At 56.0% G+C, this 15,302-nt stretch overlaps 1 protein-coding gene across 9 annotated transcripts in view, besides 1 other annotated feature; it reads left to right on the forward strand.

The window, feature by feature from the left end:
* The window catches only part of CROCC (ciliary rootlet coiled-coil, rootletin), a 58,880-nt gene that overhangs the window by 39,071 nt on the left and 4,507 nt on the right, over positions 1–15,302 (forward strand). For all 9 annotated transcript variants that reach the window (XM_047435134.1, XM_047435120.1, XM_006711058.4 and 6 more), the window contains 11 exons: positions 147–326; positions 1,068–1,202; positions 1,579–1,722; positions 2,157–2,395; positions 2,842–3,001; positions 5,428–5,595; positions 7,603–7,975; positions 12,568–12,737; positions 12,844–12,964; positions 13,253–13,416; positions 15,048–15,263. In XM_047435134.1, the coding sequence (XP_047291090.1) occupies positions 147–326; positions 1,068–1,202; positions 1,579–1,722; positions 2,157–2,395; positions 2,842–3,001; positions 5,428–5,595; positions 7,603–7,975; positions 12,568–12,737; positions 12,844–12,964; positions 13,253–13,416; positions 15,048–15,263 (2,070 nt within the window). The remainder of the gene's footprint in view (positions 1–146; positions 327–1,067; positions 1,203–1,578; positions 1,723–2,156; positions 2,396–2,841; positions 3,002–5,427; positions 5,596–7,602; positions 7,976–12,567; positions 12,738–12,843; positions 12,965–13,252; positions 13,417–15,047; positions 15,264–15,302) is intronic.
* Positions 7,855–8,044: a silencer, noted in NCBI's record as "silent region_338". NCBI's record gives its function as "represses an Ori minimal core promoter by ATAC-STARR-seq in GM12878 lymphoblastoid cells {active_cell/tissue: GM12878}" and the evidence as "EXISTENCE:reporter gene assay evidence [ECO:0000049][PMID:35858748]".

Below are 15,302 nucleotides of genomic sequence, written 5' to 3' on the forward strand. Positions count from 1 at the left end.
AGCCCTTATCACTCCCTTGTATTTACCTGGTCACCCTCCATCTCTGAGGGTATGGGGGCCAGATGGCTCTTGCTGCCCTGATGTTTTGGGGGGTCTGCCTGGGCCCCCTCCTGGTGTGTCACAGGCATCCGGTCCTGGCCCCCTAGGAGGCAGCATGGCGGGAGCTGGAGGCCGAGCGGGCCCAGCTGCAGAGTCAGCTGCAGCGTGAGCAGGAGGAGCTGCTGGCCCGGCTGGAGGCTGAGAAGGAAGAGCTGAGTGAGGAGATTGCTGCCCTGCAGCAGGAGCGCGACGAGGGCCTCCTCCTAGCAGAGAGTGAGAAGCAGCAGGTTCGTGAGCCCTGGCATGGCCTCTGCTGCTCTCTGAGCTGCTCCAGTTCTGGGGCCGGGCCCTGCTCTGCCACTTGGCAGCTAGGAGCCCTGGGGCAGGCCACTGCCCTCTTGGGGGCCTCAGTTTCCTTACCTGCAGGAGGGGAGGATTAGAAGGGGGTTCGTGAGGCTTTGCTGTGCTCCATGCCTGGCACACAGTGAGCACTTACTGAGTGACAGTGACAGTCGTGACACCAGGAAAGCTGTTCCATATTCTCCCATGCCTCGTCCCACCCCACGCTGGGCATGGATCCTCATGGCTGCCTTCTGAGCAGTCCCCACGATGCCCACAGGCATCAGCTGACGTGTCCCCCCAAATAACAAATCCCTAACTTTCCTATAATGTAACGGAGACAGGGCAGACTGTGCCCATCTCCTCTCCTCACCAGCTGTGTACCTGGGCGAGTCACTTTACCTCCTTGAGCCTCAGTTTCCTCATCTGTAAGATGGGTAGAAAGAAAGACTCTGCAGTCAGGGTGCTGTGGCGGGTTAGTGAGCTCTATGAGTGGTATCCACGTCCGGGATTCTTGTGACTGCCGTTGTGCCCTTTTCCAGGGCTGCATGTCTGCCCTGGGTCCACCTGCAGTGGCACACTCAGGCCTCTAAGCCCCCAGTGGGCACATTTCCTAGGCAGCAAGAAGCCTGAGCATGCCCCCAGGACCAGCCCATCCCCCAAGCCCTTTGTCCCCTGCCTCTGCCCAGGCCTTGTCTCTGAAGGAGTCTGAGAAGACGGCGCTGTCAGAGAAGTTGATGGGTACACGGCACAGCCTGGCCACCATCTCCCTGGAGATGGAGCGGCAGAAACGAGATGCCCAGAGCCGGCAGGAGCAGGACCGGGTAGGGCAGGCTGGGCAGCTGGGCCTCTGTCTCATAGAGAGGCACATCCCTGGCTGAGGAGCCCCCACCACGGGGCGGCATGGCCCTGTCCTGGAGAAGCTTCCAGGCTGTGGGAAAGGAGGTTTAGCCCTTCTTTTGGGAGCCCCCATCTGAGGGAGGTGGCTCAGCCCTGCCCTGATGAATCCTTTTGGCGTGAGGGAGAGGCTGGCTACACGGGCAGCACTCACTATGCATCCAGGGGTTGGCAGAGGGTCCGGCAGGCCAGCGGGAGGGGCCGTGTTTAGAGCTAAAAGTGGACAGTGCACTGAGCGGGTTGGGAGCAGCCCGGGGCTGGGGGACACAGCAGGACCAAGTCTGAGGAGCCCCTCTGTCCCAGAGCACCGTGAACGCTCTGACGTCTGAGCTGCGGGACCTACGGGCCCAGCGGGAGGAGGCTGCTGCGGCCCACGCCCAGGAGGTGAGGAGGCTGCAAGAGCAGGCCCGAGACCTGGGCAAGCAGCGGGACTCCTGTCTTCGCGAGGTGAGCAGCCGCCCCCCTCTTCCAAGCAGCATACCCTAAATGGCACTGTGTGCCTGGGGGCCTAGTTCCCCAGGGCCCCAGAAGAGTGTAAGATTCCTCCCTGCATTTGAGGACCAATGAATAGCAACTTAGAAAGGAGGCAGCAAGCACTACGAAGCACCTGTTGTGTACAGGTGGGATTTGGCCTCAAGGAGGGGTGAGTGGGGTCTCTGCCCTCTTGGTGTTGTGCTCAGGACAGTCCTGATTGATGGTGACTTCAGGTCAAAACATTACTGATTACAGCACGCCTTGCTCAAATGATAACTCACAGCCTGCGGTCTGAGCACTGCAGAGGGATGGGGCAGGCTCCCTGGGTCCAGGGATCTGGGGTACAAGACCCAGCTTGACGGGGGGGTCCCTGACCGCTGCCCTGGGGACACCTGCTGTGCTCACAGGCAGAAGAGCTTCGGACCCAGCTGCGTCTGCTGGAGGATGCCCGTGACGGGCTGCGGCGGGAGCTGCTGGAGGCCCAGCGCAAGCTGCGTGAGAGCCAGGAGGGCCGGGAGGTGCAGCGCCAGGAGGCAGGCGAGCTGCGACGCAGCCTGGGCGAGGGTGCCAAGGAGCGCGAGGCCCTGCGGCGTTCCAATGAGGAGCTTCGGTCTGCTGTGAAGAAGGCAGAGAGCGAGCGCATCAGGTGGGGTGTCGCAGGAGGACCAGTCCTGAGTCCTCATGGGATCCCATCCCTGAAACCTAACTTCACCCCCAACGTTCTGGGGAAATTGCCCAGATACGGATCCTCTGTCTCCTAAGCAGAGCCTGGCACCTGGGTGATTTTAGGAAGGTTTCCTCCCTGTTGATTGGGGAAAGGGGCAGAGGGGCAGTGGGCAGCTTTGGGTCCAGACTCAGACCCACCCACCGTCATCACCCTGGAAACCAGGTCCCCTCCTGGAGTCACTGGTCTACCCCTCCCAGCCGAGGGCCTGGGCCCCAGCCCTGCAGGGCTCAGGGCTTAGCTCTTCAGAGAGGCCACATGGGCAGGCAGTGCCTGATCCACTCCAGAAATTGGAGGAGACGGCTTTTGTGTAGAGCCACTGACTACTCCCAGGACCCAGGGCAGCCCCTGACCTCTGCCCTCTCCAGCCTGAAGCTTGCCAATGAGGACAAGGAGCAGAAGCTGGCACTCCTAGAGGAGGCACGGACAGCTGTGGGCAAGGAGGCCGGGGAGCTGCGAACTGGGCTGCAGGAGGTGGAGCGCTCACGGCTGGAGGCTCGGCGGGAGCTGCAGGAGCTCCGGCGTCAGGTACTCTCCCTGTGCCACCCCTTAGCCTGGGGCTTGCTGTGTGCCCCGGGCCAATAGCTCCCCCTTTCTGGAATTACGTTTCTACCCCTATGTAAAACCAGGGGCTTGAACTATGACAAGCCCTCTCACCTAACCTTGGTGTGAATGGATGGGCTTTGAGGAGTCCTTGAATCCCTGAAACTGTGCAAAAGTCTGCGTGCATTTGTGTGCACACTCAGGCTCACATTTCTGCAAGGAGAGGAGCTGGTGTCCTTGTCCAGTTCTCAAAGGAATCTGCAAACAACAAAAGGTACAGATTTTGTGAACTAGGTCAGAGGTTGGCAAATGGTTTTTTGTAAAGAGCCCAAATGGTCAATATTTCCAGCTTTACGGGCCACACAGTCTCTGTTGCAACTACTTGACTCTGCTGGGGTAGTGAGAAAGCAGTCCCAAACAGTGCATGAACAGAGGGGTGTGGGTTCCAGTAAAACTTTGTTTAGGGACACTGAAATGTGAATTTTCTGTCATTTTCATGTGTCAAGAAATGTTGTTCTTCCTTTAGAAATGATCCATTTTCGATGATTTAAAAATGTAAAAAAAAAAAAAAATCCTTAACTCAGACCCTTGTAGAAACGGGAGATGGGCTGAATTTGGCCTGTGAGCTGTAGTTCGCTGACCCGTGAATTCGATGATCTGCAAACTCAACAGCAGCATGTATTGAAGAAGCACCTGCTGTCTACTGGGCACTGGCCTGGACACTGTGGGTTCAGGCTTCTCACTCTAGAAGATGCAAAGAACAGGAAATGGCCTCATTCAGCCCCTAGGCGCTGCCTCACCCAGAGATATCACAACCAGGCCAGGCGCAGTGGCTCACACCTATAATCTCAGCACTTTGGGAGGCGGAGGCCAGTGGATTGCTTGAGCCCAGGAGTTCGAGACCAGCCTGGGTAACATGGTGAAAACCTGTCTCTACTAAAAATACGAAAAATTAGCCAGCTGTGATGGCTCATGCCTTTAATCTCATGCTTTGGGAGGCCAAGTTGGGAGGACTGCTTGAGCCTAGGAGTTCAAGACCAGCCCAGGCAACATAGTGAGAACCAGTCTCTACAAAAAATTTAAAAAATAGCTAGGTGTGGTGACACGCTCCTGGAGTCCCAGCTACTTGGGAGGCTGAGGTGGGAGTATCCCTTGAGCCCAGGAAGTCAAGGCTGCAGTGAGCTGTGATCGCATCACCGCACTCCAGCCTGGGCGACAAAGCAAGACCCTGACTCTAAAAAAAGTTTTTAAACTTTTAATTTTTATTTTATTTATTTATTTACTTTCTGAGATGGAGTTTCACTCTTGTTGCCCAGGCTGGAGTGCAGTGGCGCAATCTCGGCTCACTGCAACCTCCGCCTCCCGGGTTCAAGTAATTCTCCTGACTCAGCCTCCCAAGTAGCTGGGATTACAGATGCCCGCCACCACACCTGGCTAATTTTTTTGTATTTTTAGTAGAGACAGGGTTTCACCATGTGGGCCAGGCTGGTCTCGAACTCCTGATGTCAGGTGATCCACCCACCTTGGCCTCCCAAAGTGCTGGGATTACAGGCATGAGCCACGATGCCTGGCCCCCCCAAATTTTTTTAATTAAAAAAATTGTTTTTAATTACAAAAAAAGAGATCACAACTGGATAGCCAGAGATATTCTGATACTCTGATAGCCAGAGATACCACAGCCCCCTTCACCCAGGCCCCTTCCTGAGAAACCACAAGACTCCCGGAAAGGAGCTGGCATTTGCGTGCCAGCTTTTGCTGGACGCGTTGCATGCTACGGCCTCTCCTGTTACCCCTGCTGTAGCACATGGGGGAGGTAGGCAGTACCCCTCCCTGCTCCTGTGGGGAAATAGGGGCTTAGAACATTGCCGTTGTCTCAGATCGAATCCCAGTCTGGTGTGTGTGGGCTGTGTGACTTTGGGGAGGTTACTCTGACACTCTGAGGCTCAGTTTTCTCATCTGTTAGATAGGGATAATGTTACTACCTACCTCATATAGCATTGTACCAAGATTAAACGAGTTAATATAACTGAAGTGCTTAGAACAGGACTGGACACATGGTAAGCGCTCCAAAAACGTTCATCGCCATCGTAGAGGGGAAAGATAACCCAGGGAGCTGTGGTTCCTGCCTGTGAACTCCTGGTCTGCTAAGGGCTGAGCCCTCCTTCTATTATACCCACCCCTTTATGAAAGGTAGTTTTGGCCCATTGATTAAGTGGTAAACAGGCCACTGGTGCCCAAGTGCCTGGCATCGCCCAAGTTCAGTGTGGTTGTGTAGGGGCCGGCTCCCAGTGGATGTGGGGTGGTATTTGATACATGTGTCCCTACAGCAGTAGGTACCAAGTGGCCTTGGGCCAGAACTGGGAGGGTACAGGGGCAGAGCTGAACCTGCTGCCATTCCCGTGCTCTCACAGATGAAGATGCTGGACAGTGAGAACACCAGACTGGGCCGGGAGCTGGCGGAGCTGCAGGGCCGCCTGGCGCTGGGCGAGCGGGCAGAGAAGGAGAGCAGGCGGGAGACCCTGGGCCTCCGGCAGAGGCTGCTGAAGGGCGAGGCCAGCCTGGAGGTGATGCGGCAGGAGGTAACTGAGCAGGCGGGCAGGCTGGTGCATCTTTCCTTCCCCCAGCAGGAAGCAGGTGGGCACCCCAATGCTGGGGCCATTCTGAAAGGCCACTCCCTAGGGCTTGCTCCTTCCCCCACTCCTTGAGACTCTTCCCCAGTTGTAGTAACAACAACCCAAAGAACAGTGGGCCTACTGTGTGCCGGCACAAAATGGGTAGGGAGAGGCCCTGTAGATACAACCTTGTTTGATTTCCCCAGCAGCCCTATGGGGTAGGTACTGTTAGCCCTTTTTATTTAGTTATTTATTTTGAAATGGAGTCTCACTCTGTCGCCCAGGCTGGAGTGCGCTGGCACCATCTCGGCTCACTGCAACCTCCGCCTCCTGGGTTCAAGCAATTCTTCTGCCTCAGCCTCCCGAGTATCTGGGATTACAGGTGCTTGCCACCACGCCCAGCTAATTTTTTGTATTTTTAGTAGAGACAGGATTTCACCATGTTGGTCAGGCTTGTCTCAAACGCCTGACCTCAGGTGATCCACCTGCCTCGGCCTCCCAAAGTGCTGGGATTACAGGTGTGAGCCACCACACCCTTCCTACCATTAGCCCCATTTTACAGAGCCCTCAGAGAGGTCGAGGGATCTACCCAAGGTCACACAGCCACCTAAGTCTGTCTGACTCCAAAGCCCACAGGCTACCCGCTCTGCCTTTTCCGGCTGTTTCATTGCCATGAATCTGTTGTGTGGCCTGAACCAAGTCACGTCATCTCTGTGCCTCAGAGCGCTCATGAGAGATGGGCTAGCACAGCCGAGCATGTATGAAGGGCCCTGGCACAGGTCCTGGCAACCAGCTGCTCAGTAGATGGGTTTCCAGTGAAACTGGTGACCGTGAGAGGTTGACTCTCTAAATGGCAGGGGTGGCTTTGTGTCTGTGTGACCATGCATCCCATCAGGAAATGATATTTTAGTGCATGCCCCCATTGTGTGCAAATTTATTGATAAATTATGGGCAAGGGCGGCAATGTAGCCTAGTGGTTAAGGGAACAGCCTCTGGACACAGCTCCCTTTGGAACCAGTGGGCACTTAACCTTCCTGGCTGTTCACTGTGTTCTCAAGTGCAGCCCACAGCCCCCGTGTGGCCCCGTGTGGTATGCCTCCCCGCCTTTCCCCCACCCCCCAGGGCTGTGAGTACATGTGATTAATAAGCTGCTGTCAAGCTATTAAAAACAAAAAACAAAAAAAAAAACAGAAACAAAAACAGCCGGGCGCAGTGGCTCACACCTGTAATCCCAGCACTTTGGGAGGCCGAGGCTGGCAGATCACTTGAGGCCAGGAGTTCGAGAGCAGTCTGGCTAACATGGCAAAACTCTGTCTCTACTAAAAATACAAAAATTAGCTGGGCATGGTGGTGCTCACCTGTAATCCCAGCTACTCGGAGGCTGAGGTGGGAGGATCACTTGAACCCAGGAGGCAGAGGTTACAGTGAGCTGAGATTGCCCCACTGCACTCCAGCCTGGGTGACAGAGCTAGACTCTGTCTCCAAAAACAAACAAACAAAAACCCACAAAAACAACAAAAAAAACAGCCTTTGGAGCTAGAGTGCCTGGCTTTGAATCCCAGCTCTGCAGTTTACTAACTCTGGCCTTGGACAAGTTACTTAGCATCTCTGTGCCTGTTTCATCTTCTGTAAAGTGAGATCGATTCATAGAGTAGTAATTAGAGTTAATATTTTTTGGAAAGTTACTTAGTGCCTGGCACTGATAAGCCCTATGTATTCAAATGCCAGCTGTTATTACTAATAAACTATGGGCATTACAAGGCTTGTATAAAGAATAAAGAGATTAATAAACAAGTTCTAGTATTTCCTCCCACGGGGATGTTTTTGCACCGCCTGCTTGAGTGGCGAGCACTAAAGGAGAAAGGGTTGTACTGACCACACAGTCAGGGATGGTGGGCTCCAGTCTGGGCCTTAGGGGTGGGGCGTCGGGTTGGGAGAGGTCTTGCCGACCTCCACCTCCTGGCATCACTCCAGCTCCAGGTAGCCCAGCGGAAGCTGCAGGAACAAGAAGGCGAGTTCCGGACCCGCGAGCGACGCCTGCTGGGCTCCCTGGAGGAGGCGCGTGGCACTGAAAAGCAGCAGCTGGACCACGCCCGCGGCCTGGAGCTGAAGCTGGAGGCGGCGCGGGCCGAGGCTGCAGAGCTGGGCCTGCGGCTGAGCGCAGCCGAGGGCCGGGCACAAGGCCTGGAGGCCGAGCTGGCCCGCGTGGAGGTGCAGCGGCGCGCGGCGGAGGCCCAGCTGGGTGGCCTGCGCTCGGCTCTGCGCCGGGGCCTCGGCCTCGGTCGCGCGCCCAGCCCAGCCCCGCGGCCAGTGCCCGGTTCCCCTGCCCGGGACGCACCCGCAGAAGGTAAGGGCAGTGCCGCGCGCAGGGAAGGGGGGAGGTGGGCGGGCCGCACTGAGGCCCCGCCCCCACATGGCAGGGTGTTTTTGTTTTTGTTTTTGTTTTTTTTCAAGGAGCCCACCACACCTCTCCACTGAGGTCCACTTCTTAGCCCCGTCCCCTCACCGAGACCCCTCCCTTCACTGATCTGTGCTTCTCAAGGGCGCTTCTTTTTTCTTTAGACCAGGCCTCATCTGTTTCCCGGGCTCAAGTGGTCCTCCCTCCTCAGCCTCCTGAGTAGCTGGGACTACAGGTGTGCCACCACGCCCAGCTAATTTTTGTAGTTTTTGTGGAGACGGGGTCTCACTATGTTGCCCAGGCTGGTCTTAAACTCCTGGCCTCAAGCGATCCTCCTGTCTCAGCCTCTCAGGGTTGGGATTAGAGGCATGAGCCACGGCACCCGGTCTAGGCCACTTATTTTTTTGGGGAAGTGGGGTGATTCTTTTTTTTCAACTTTTGAGACAGGATCTCACTCTGTCACCTCAGTTGAAGTGCAGTAGTGTGATCTTGGCTCCCTCTGCCTTGGCAGCCTGTGCCTCCTGGGCTCAAGTGATTCTCCCACCTCAACCTCCTTTGTAGCTGAGACTACAGGTGTGCACTACAATGTCTGCTTAATTTTTGTGTTTTTAGTAGAGATGGGGTTTTGCCATATTGCCCAGGCTAGTCTTGAACTCCTGGACTCAAGCGATCCTCCCACTGGGATTACAGGCGTGAGCCACCGTGCCTTTCCTGGACCGGGGGCTGGAGGGCTCTTAATGCCTTTGACTCCTTATCTGATTTTCTGAGCTTCCATCCTGCCATATACTCCCACATACTTTCAGTCATCTCTAGGTTACTTAGGATACCAAATACAGCTAAGTGGAAATCTTACACTTGTTACACTGTATTGTTTTTAATTATTCTTTTTGTTTTTTTTTGAGATGGCGTCTTGCTCTGTTGCCCAAGCTGGAGTGCAGTAGCACGATCTCGGCTCACTGCAACCTCTGCCTCCTGGGTTCAAGTGATTCTCCTGCCTCAGCCCCCTGAGTAGCTGGGAGACTACAGGCGTGTGCCACCACGCCTGGCTAATTTTTGTATTTTTAGTAGAGACGGGGTTTCAAGGCTGGGCGCGGTGGCTCATGCCTGTAATCCCAGCACTTTGGGAGGCAGAGGTGGGCGGATCACGAGGTCAGGAGATCGAGACCACAGTGAAACCCCGTCTCTACTAAAAATACAAAAAAAATTAGCTGGGCACAGTGGCAGGCACCTGTAGTCCCAGCTACTCGGGAGGCTGAGGCAGGAGAATGGCGTGAACCCGGAAGATGGAGCTTGCAGTGAGCTGAGATCCCGCCACTGCACTCCAGCCTGGGCGACAGAGCTAGACTCCGTCTCAAAAAAAAAAAAAAAAAAAAAAAAAAACAGGATTTCAGCATGTTGGTCAGGCTAGTCTTGAACTCCTGACCTTACGTGATCTGCCCACCTCAGCCTCCCAAAGTGCTGGGATTAAAGGCATGAGACACTGTGCCCGGCACACCTGGCTAATTTTTGTGTATGTGTGTGTGTGTATATAAATATACATATATATATATGTATATTTTTTTTTTTTAGGAGAGATGGGGTTTCACCATGTTGGACAGGCTGGTCTCAAACTCCTGACCTCCAGTCGGGATGATCTGGGAACAGATGATGGTGATGGCTGCACAACAGTGTGAATGTAATTCATGCCGCTCAGTTGTACACTTAAAAATGATGAAAATGGCCAGACACGTTGGCTCATGTTTGTAATCCCAGCACTCTGCGAGGCCGGAGCGGGTGGATCACTCGAGGCCAGGAGTTCAAGACCAGCCTAGCCAACATGGTGAAACCCTGTCTCTACTAAAAATACAAAAAATTAGTCAAGTGTGGTGGCAGACGCCTGTAATCCCAGCTACTCGGGAGGCTGAGGCAGGAGAATCTCTTGAAACCAGGAGGCAGAGGTTGTGGTGAGCCGAGATCGCACCATTGCACTCTAGACTGGGCAACAAGAGCGAAACTCCGTCTCAGAAAAAAAAAAAAAAAAAAAATTGGGCAAAGCCAAGGTAGGGGCTAGGGCAGTTCATGCGGGGGCAGCAGGTGCCTCACTGAGGAGGTGATGGGTAAGGGGAGAACGTGAGCGAGCAGCTGGGAGGGGGACTCGGGGCGAGTAGGGAGGTCCTGAGTGGAGGTGCGCCTGTCCTGTGGACAGCAGGGGCCAGCAGTCCCAGAGCATCAAGCAGGGGGGTGAGATTTGGGGACGAAGGGCTTGCTCCAATAGACATTATAGGCCTCTACGGGGACTTTTACCCTGAGACGATGGGACCTTCTAGAGCTGGAGGCCCCCAGGGGCAGGCCTGCTTCTTTGGGAACCTCTGAGCGAGGCCTTTTGGGTGGTGACCAAGTTCATGGCTGCGGAGCAGTTTTGGTGTCCCTCTGCGGCCAAGGCAGGATGCTCATGGCAGGACCCGTGTCCTGCAGTTCCAGTGCCAGCCTCCAGGTAGTGCCCTGGTTCCACCCGCCCTGCCCCCTCCACCTCCCCGGGCCATCACTCCAAGCAGGAGTGCTGCCAGGGAGTCGGGCTGCCTGGATTCCCATCTCAGCCCTGAAACTTCCCAGCATTGAGAACAACCAAATCACTTTGTTTTTGTTTTTTTTTGAGCCCAAGTCTCGCTCTATTGCCTATGCTGGAGTGCAATGGCGCGATCTCGACTCACTGCAACCTCCGCCTGCTGGGTTCAAGCGATTCTCCTGCCTCAGCCTCCTGAGTAGCTGGGACTACAGGCGTGCACCACTGCACCCAGCTAATTTTTTGTATTTTTAGTAGAGATGGGGGTTTCACCATGTTGGCCAGGCTGGTCTTGAACTCCTGACCTCAGGTGATCTGCCCGCCTCGGCCTCCCACCAGAGTGCTGGGATTACAGGTCTGAGCCACCGTGCCGGGCCCACTTTTTTCTTTTTCTTTTCTTTTCTTTTTTCTTTATTTTTTTTTTTTTTTGAGACAGAGTCTCTCTCTGTTGCCCAGGCTGGAGTGCAGCACAGTCTCAGCTCACTACAACCTCTGTCTCCAGGGTTCAAGTGCTTTTCCTGCCTCAGCCTCCAGACCTCAGCCTCCCAGGTAGCTGGGACTATAAGCGTGGGCCACCATGCTCAGCTAATTTTTCTCTTTTCTTTTCTTTTCTTTTCCTTTCTTTTCCTTCCTTCCTTACTTTCTTTTCTTTTCTTTCCTCTTCTTTCTTCTTTTTTTTGACCGAGTCTCACTCTGTTGCCCAGGCTGGAGTGTAATGGTGCAGTCTTAGCTCACTGCAACCTCTGCCTCCCAGGTCCCAGTTCAAGCAATTCTCCTGCCTCAGCCTCCTGAGTAGCTGGGATTACAGGCGCCCGCCACCACACCTAATTTTTGTATTTTTAGTAGAGACGGGTTTTCACCATGTTGGCCAGGCCGGTCTCGAACTGCTGACCTCGTGATCTGCCCACCTCGGCATCCCAAAGTGCTGGGATTACAGGTGTGAGCCACTGCTCCCAGTCTTTTCTTTCTTCTTTTTTTGAGACGGAGTCTCGCTGTGTTACCCAGGCTGGAGTGCAGCGGTTCGATTAGGAACACTGCGAGCTCCGCTTCCCGGGTTTAAGCAATTCTCCAACCTCAGCTTCTCGAATAGCTGGGATTACAGGTGCATGCCACCACGCCCAGCTAATTTTTGTATTTTTAGTAGAGATGGGGTTTCACTAGTTGGCAGGCTGGTCTCGAACTCCTGACCTCAGGTGATCCACCTGCCTTGGCCTCCCAGAGTGCTGGGATTACAGGCATGAGACACCGCACCTGGCCAATTTTTGTATTTTCAGTAGAGACGGGGTTTTACCATGTTGGCCAGGCTTGCCTTGAACTCCTGACCTCAAGTGATCCGCCTGCCTCGGACCCCACAGTGCTGGGATTACAGGTGTGAGCCACCACACCCAGTCAACAGAACAAGCAAATCACTTAACTGCTTTGTGCCAGCCTTGCCTGGGAAGAGGGTAAATTGTTCCTTACCTGTCAGGAAGTTGTTGTGAAGATGAAGTGCCTAGCACAGTGGGCACTCAGTATGGAGAGACTTGAGGTGATGCAGCAACCACCCTTGCACTGGGCCCTGGGAACAGTGGTGGATGGAAGAGACGAGGCCCAGCCCTCATGGTGCTCCTGGTCGGGGTGGGGGTGGCAGACATCAGACCCCGCTGAGGGTGGGATGAGCTCACTGTAATCCAGCCTGTGGCCAGAGAGGCCTCTGAGGGAGAGGGATGGCCCTAAAGGATGGGCCAGGCAAAGAGAGGCCATGGGGAGAAGGGGAGCAGCATGTACAGAGGCCCTGGAGCTGGGACAAAGAATGTTCTAGAACATGGGAGATGCAGGGTGGCCAGTTTGTAAAGGGTGAGAGGGTTTCAGCTGGGATGGGCAAGAAGACCCCTAAGCTATAGCAGAGAAGTTGGGCTTGATTCTGAGGGCTGTTGGGAAAGGCAGGGATGACAGTGAGTGAGATGTGTGGGAGGCCCGTGGCTTCTGCATCACTGAGCAAGTCTTCTTTCTCTTCTAGGAAGCGGGGAAGGGCTCAACAGCCCCAGCACCTTAGAATGCAGCCCTGGGTCCCAGCCACCATCTCCAGGACCTGCCACCTCCCCAGCCTCTCCAGACCTGGACCCGGAGGCAGTGCGCGGGGCCCTCCGGGAATTCCTGCAAGAGCTGCGGAGTGCCCAGAGAGAACGGGTAAGCCTGGGTGTGCATGGCTGGATGGGGAACCTGGAGGGCCCTGGGGAGGTTGCAGGGTGTCAGAGCAGGGGTCTGTCTTTGTTCCCCCATGTCGGGGCTACAGGACGAACTTCGGACCCAGACCAGTGCCCTGAATCGCCAGCTGGCCGAGATGGAGGCTGAGAGGGACAGCGCAACCTCGAGGGCCAGGCAGCTGCAGAAGGCGGTGGCTGAGAGTGAGGAAGGTGAGTCTGATCCTCGGGGTCCCTGTTCTCTCTCCTGTGTTTTGGGCAGTTGAGGCAGGAGCCGGGGGATTGGCCTCTGACCTTGCCGTGGCCCCCATGACCTGACTCGGGGCTGTCTCCAAGAGGACCCTCCTTGGACAGCCTCACCTGTGTGCAGGCCCGCATACTACGAAGGGTGCAGACAGTCTGGCCCTGCACTGGGTGGAGTGCAGGCTGGACATTTTGTGACCTGGTTTGGGTCTCGGGGCTGTGCTTGGCCATGCCTGACGGGGTGGGTGGTGGCTACAGCCCGGCGCAGTGTGGATGGGCGGCTGAGCGGGGTCCAGGCGGAGCTGGCGCTGCAGGAGGAGAGTGTGCGGCGCAGTGAGCGGGAGCGCCGGGCCACGCTGGACCAGGTGGCCACACTGGAGAGGAGCCTGCAGGCCACCGAGAGCGAGCTCCGGGCCAGCCAGGTGGGCAGGAGCTGAGGGCCAGCGGGGCGACGGGGAATCTGTGTACCCGAGTGAGTGTCTAACTCTTATGTGTGTCTCCCTGTGTCTGTCTGCCTGAGTCTCTCTGCAACCCACTGAGGTGACCAGCCTGTGACTCTGTGAAACCATGTTCAGACTCCATCCTCTCATGTCACTTGTGGTCACTAGGCTGTAGAAAAAAGAGCTTGGTCAAGGTGCAGTAGCTCATGCCTGTAATCCTAGCACTTTGGGAGGTCGAGGCAGGTGGATCCCTTGAGCACAGGAGTTTGAGACCAGCCTGGGCAACATGGTGAAACCCCGTCTCTATGAAAAATACTTAGCTGGGCATGGTGGTGTGGGCCTGTAGTCCCAGCTACTCGGGAGGCTGAGGTGGGAAGATCACTGGAGCCCGGTAGGTCGAGGCTGCAATGAGCTGTGATCATGCCACTGCACTCTAGCAAGGCAGAGTGAGACCCTGTAAAAAAGAAAAGAAAAAAAAAAGAAGAAGAAGAAGAAAAGAAAGAGAGCTTGGGCTTTGGGCTGTCATCTGCCTGGTTTTCATTTTCCTAATCTGTAAAAGGAGGAGCAGTGATTACGTCACAGGGTGACACACACAGGCTCTTATCACAGGTGGTACTCAGGGGGCCTCTGTTTTATGTCTCTGTAGTTCTGGGGTTTTTATGTGTGTTTGGGGGACAGCTATGTGTGCCAGTGTGTATGTGCGTCTGTCGGGCAGGAAACTCAGGCCCTGGTGGTGACAGTGCAGCCAAAGCTCCCCTCTGCCCTCCCCAGCCTGTCCCTCTATTACTGCTTCCCCCCACCACCCCCGCCCCCAAGGCCTCTGGCCTGGGGCCGAGCTTAGCTGGATTGTTGTGTCTGCGGCTTCAACCCTGGCCATGGGCCCAGCCGCAGGGGCTGCAGGAGGAGGCCAGGAACAAAGCTGGGCAGGAGCCAGAGTGGGGGCCCCAGACAGGGCAGGGCTGGGGCTCTGGGCAGGGTGGCAGAGGGGCCAGGCTCAGGATAGGGGCTGGGGAGGCTCTAATAACACCCCCTGTTGATCCACCCTGTCTCTAGGATAGTACCAGGGATGGGAGGACCCCTAGTCTGCCTTCCTGTCCCATCCCCACTCCCCAGGCCTTTTTCACTGGCTGACCCTGGGCAGGGGAGGGGGAATCACCACCTGAAACCCTAGAACAGCAGGGCCCCCTCAGAACTGTCCGGCTCAGCTCAGTTTGCACGAGTCAGTGGGGCAGGAGAAGGGCCTTGGAATCTGCATTTCTACAGCCCCTCCTCAGGGCTCCTGTGAGCACCCAGGTTGTGGTACCCTGGGACCAATCCAGTGTCCCTACTGTACAGATATGAAATGGGGCCATAGGGCGCGAAGGGGCAGTCCTGGGTTCCACAGCCCATTGGCCTGGGCTAAAACTGGAAGGTGGGCTCTGGGATCTTCACGTCCACTCATCCTGGGAACGCATGGGGAGACCGAGGACCCCAGAGGGTCCCAGGCCGGCCCCAGGTCACGTAGGTCACCCTTCGAGGCTGCTCCCCACTTTCCCCCTAAGGGCCCCAGGGCGTGTGCGGGAGGGCTGCGGGGTGCACTGGACGTCTGGGCCTGAGCCCCATGCCACCTGCAGGAGAAGATCAGCAAGATGAAGGCCAATGAGACAAAGCTGGAGGGCGACAAGCGGCGCCTGAAGGAGGTTCTGGACGCCTCCGAGAGCCGCACTGTCAAGCTGGAGCTGCAGCGGCGCTCGCTTGAGGGGGAGCTGCAGCGCAGCCGCCTGGGCCTCAGTGACCGCGAGGCCCAAGCCCAGGCCCTCCAGGATCGGGTGGATTCCCTGCAGAGACAGGTGGGCCCCTCCCCAAATCACAGCCACAGTGTTCACATG

This window comes from Homo sapiens, chromosome 1 (genome assembly GCF_000001405.40).
Source record: "Homo sapiens chromosome 1, GRCh38.p14 Primary Assembly".
Taxonomy (NCBI): domain Eukaryota; kingdom Metazoa; phylum Chordata; class Mammalia; order Primates; family Hominidae; genus Homo; species Homo sapiens.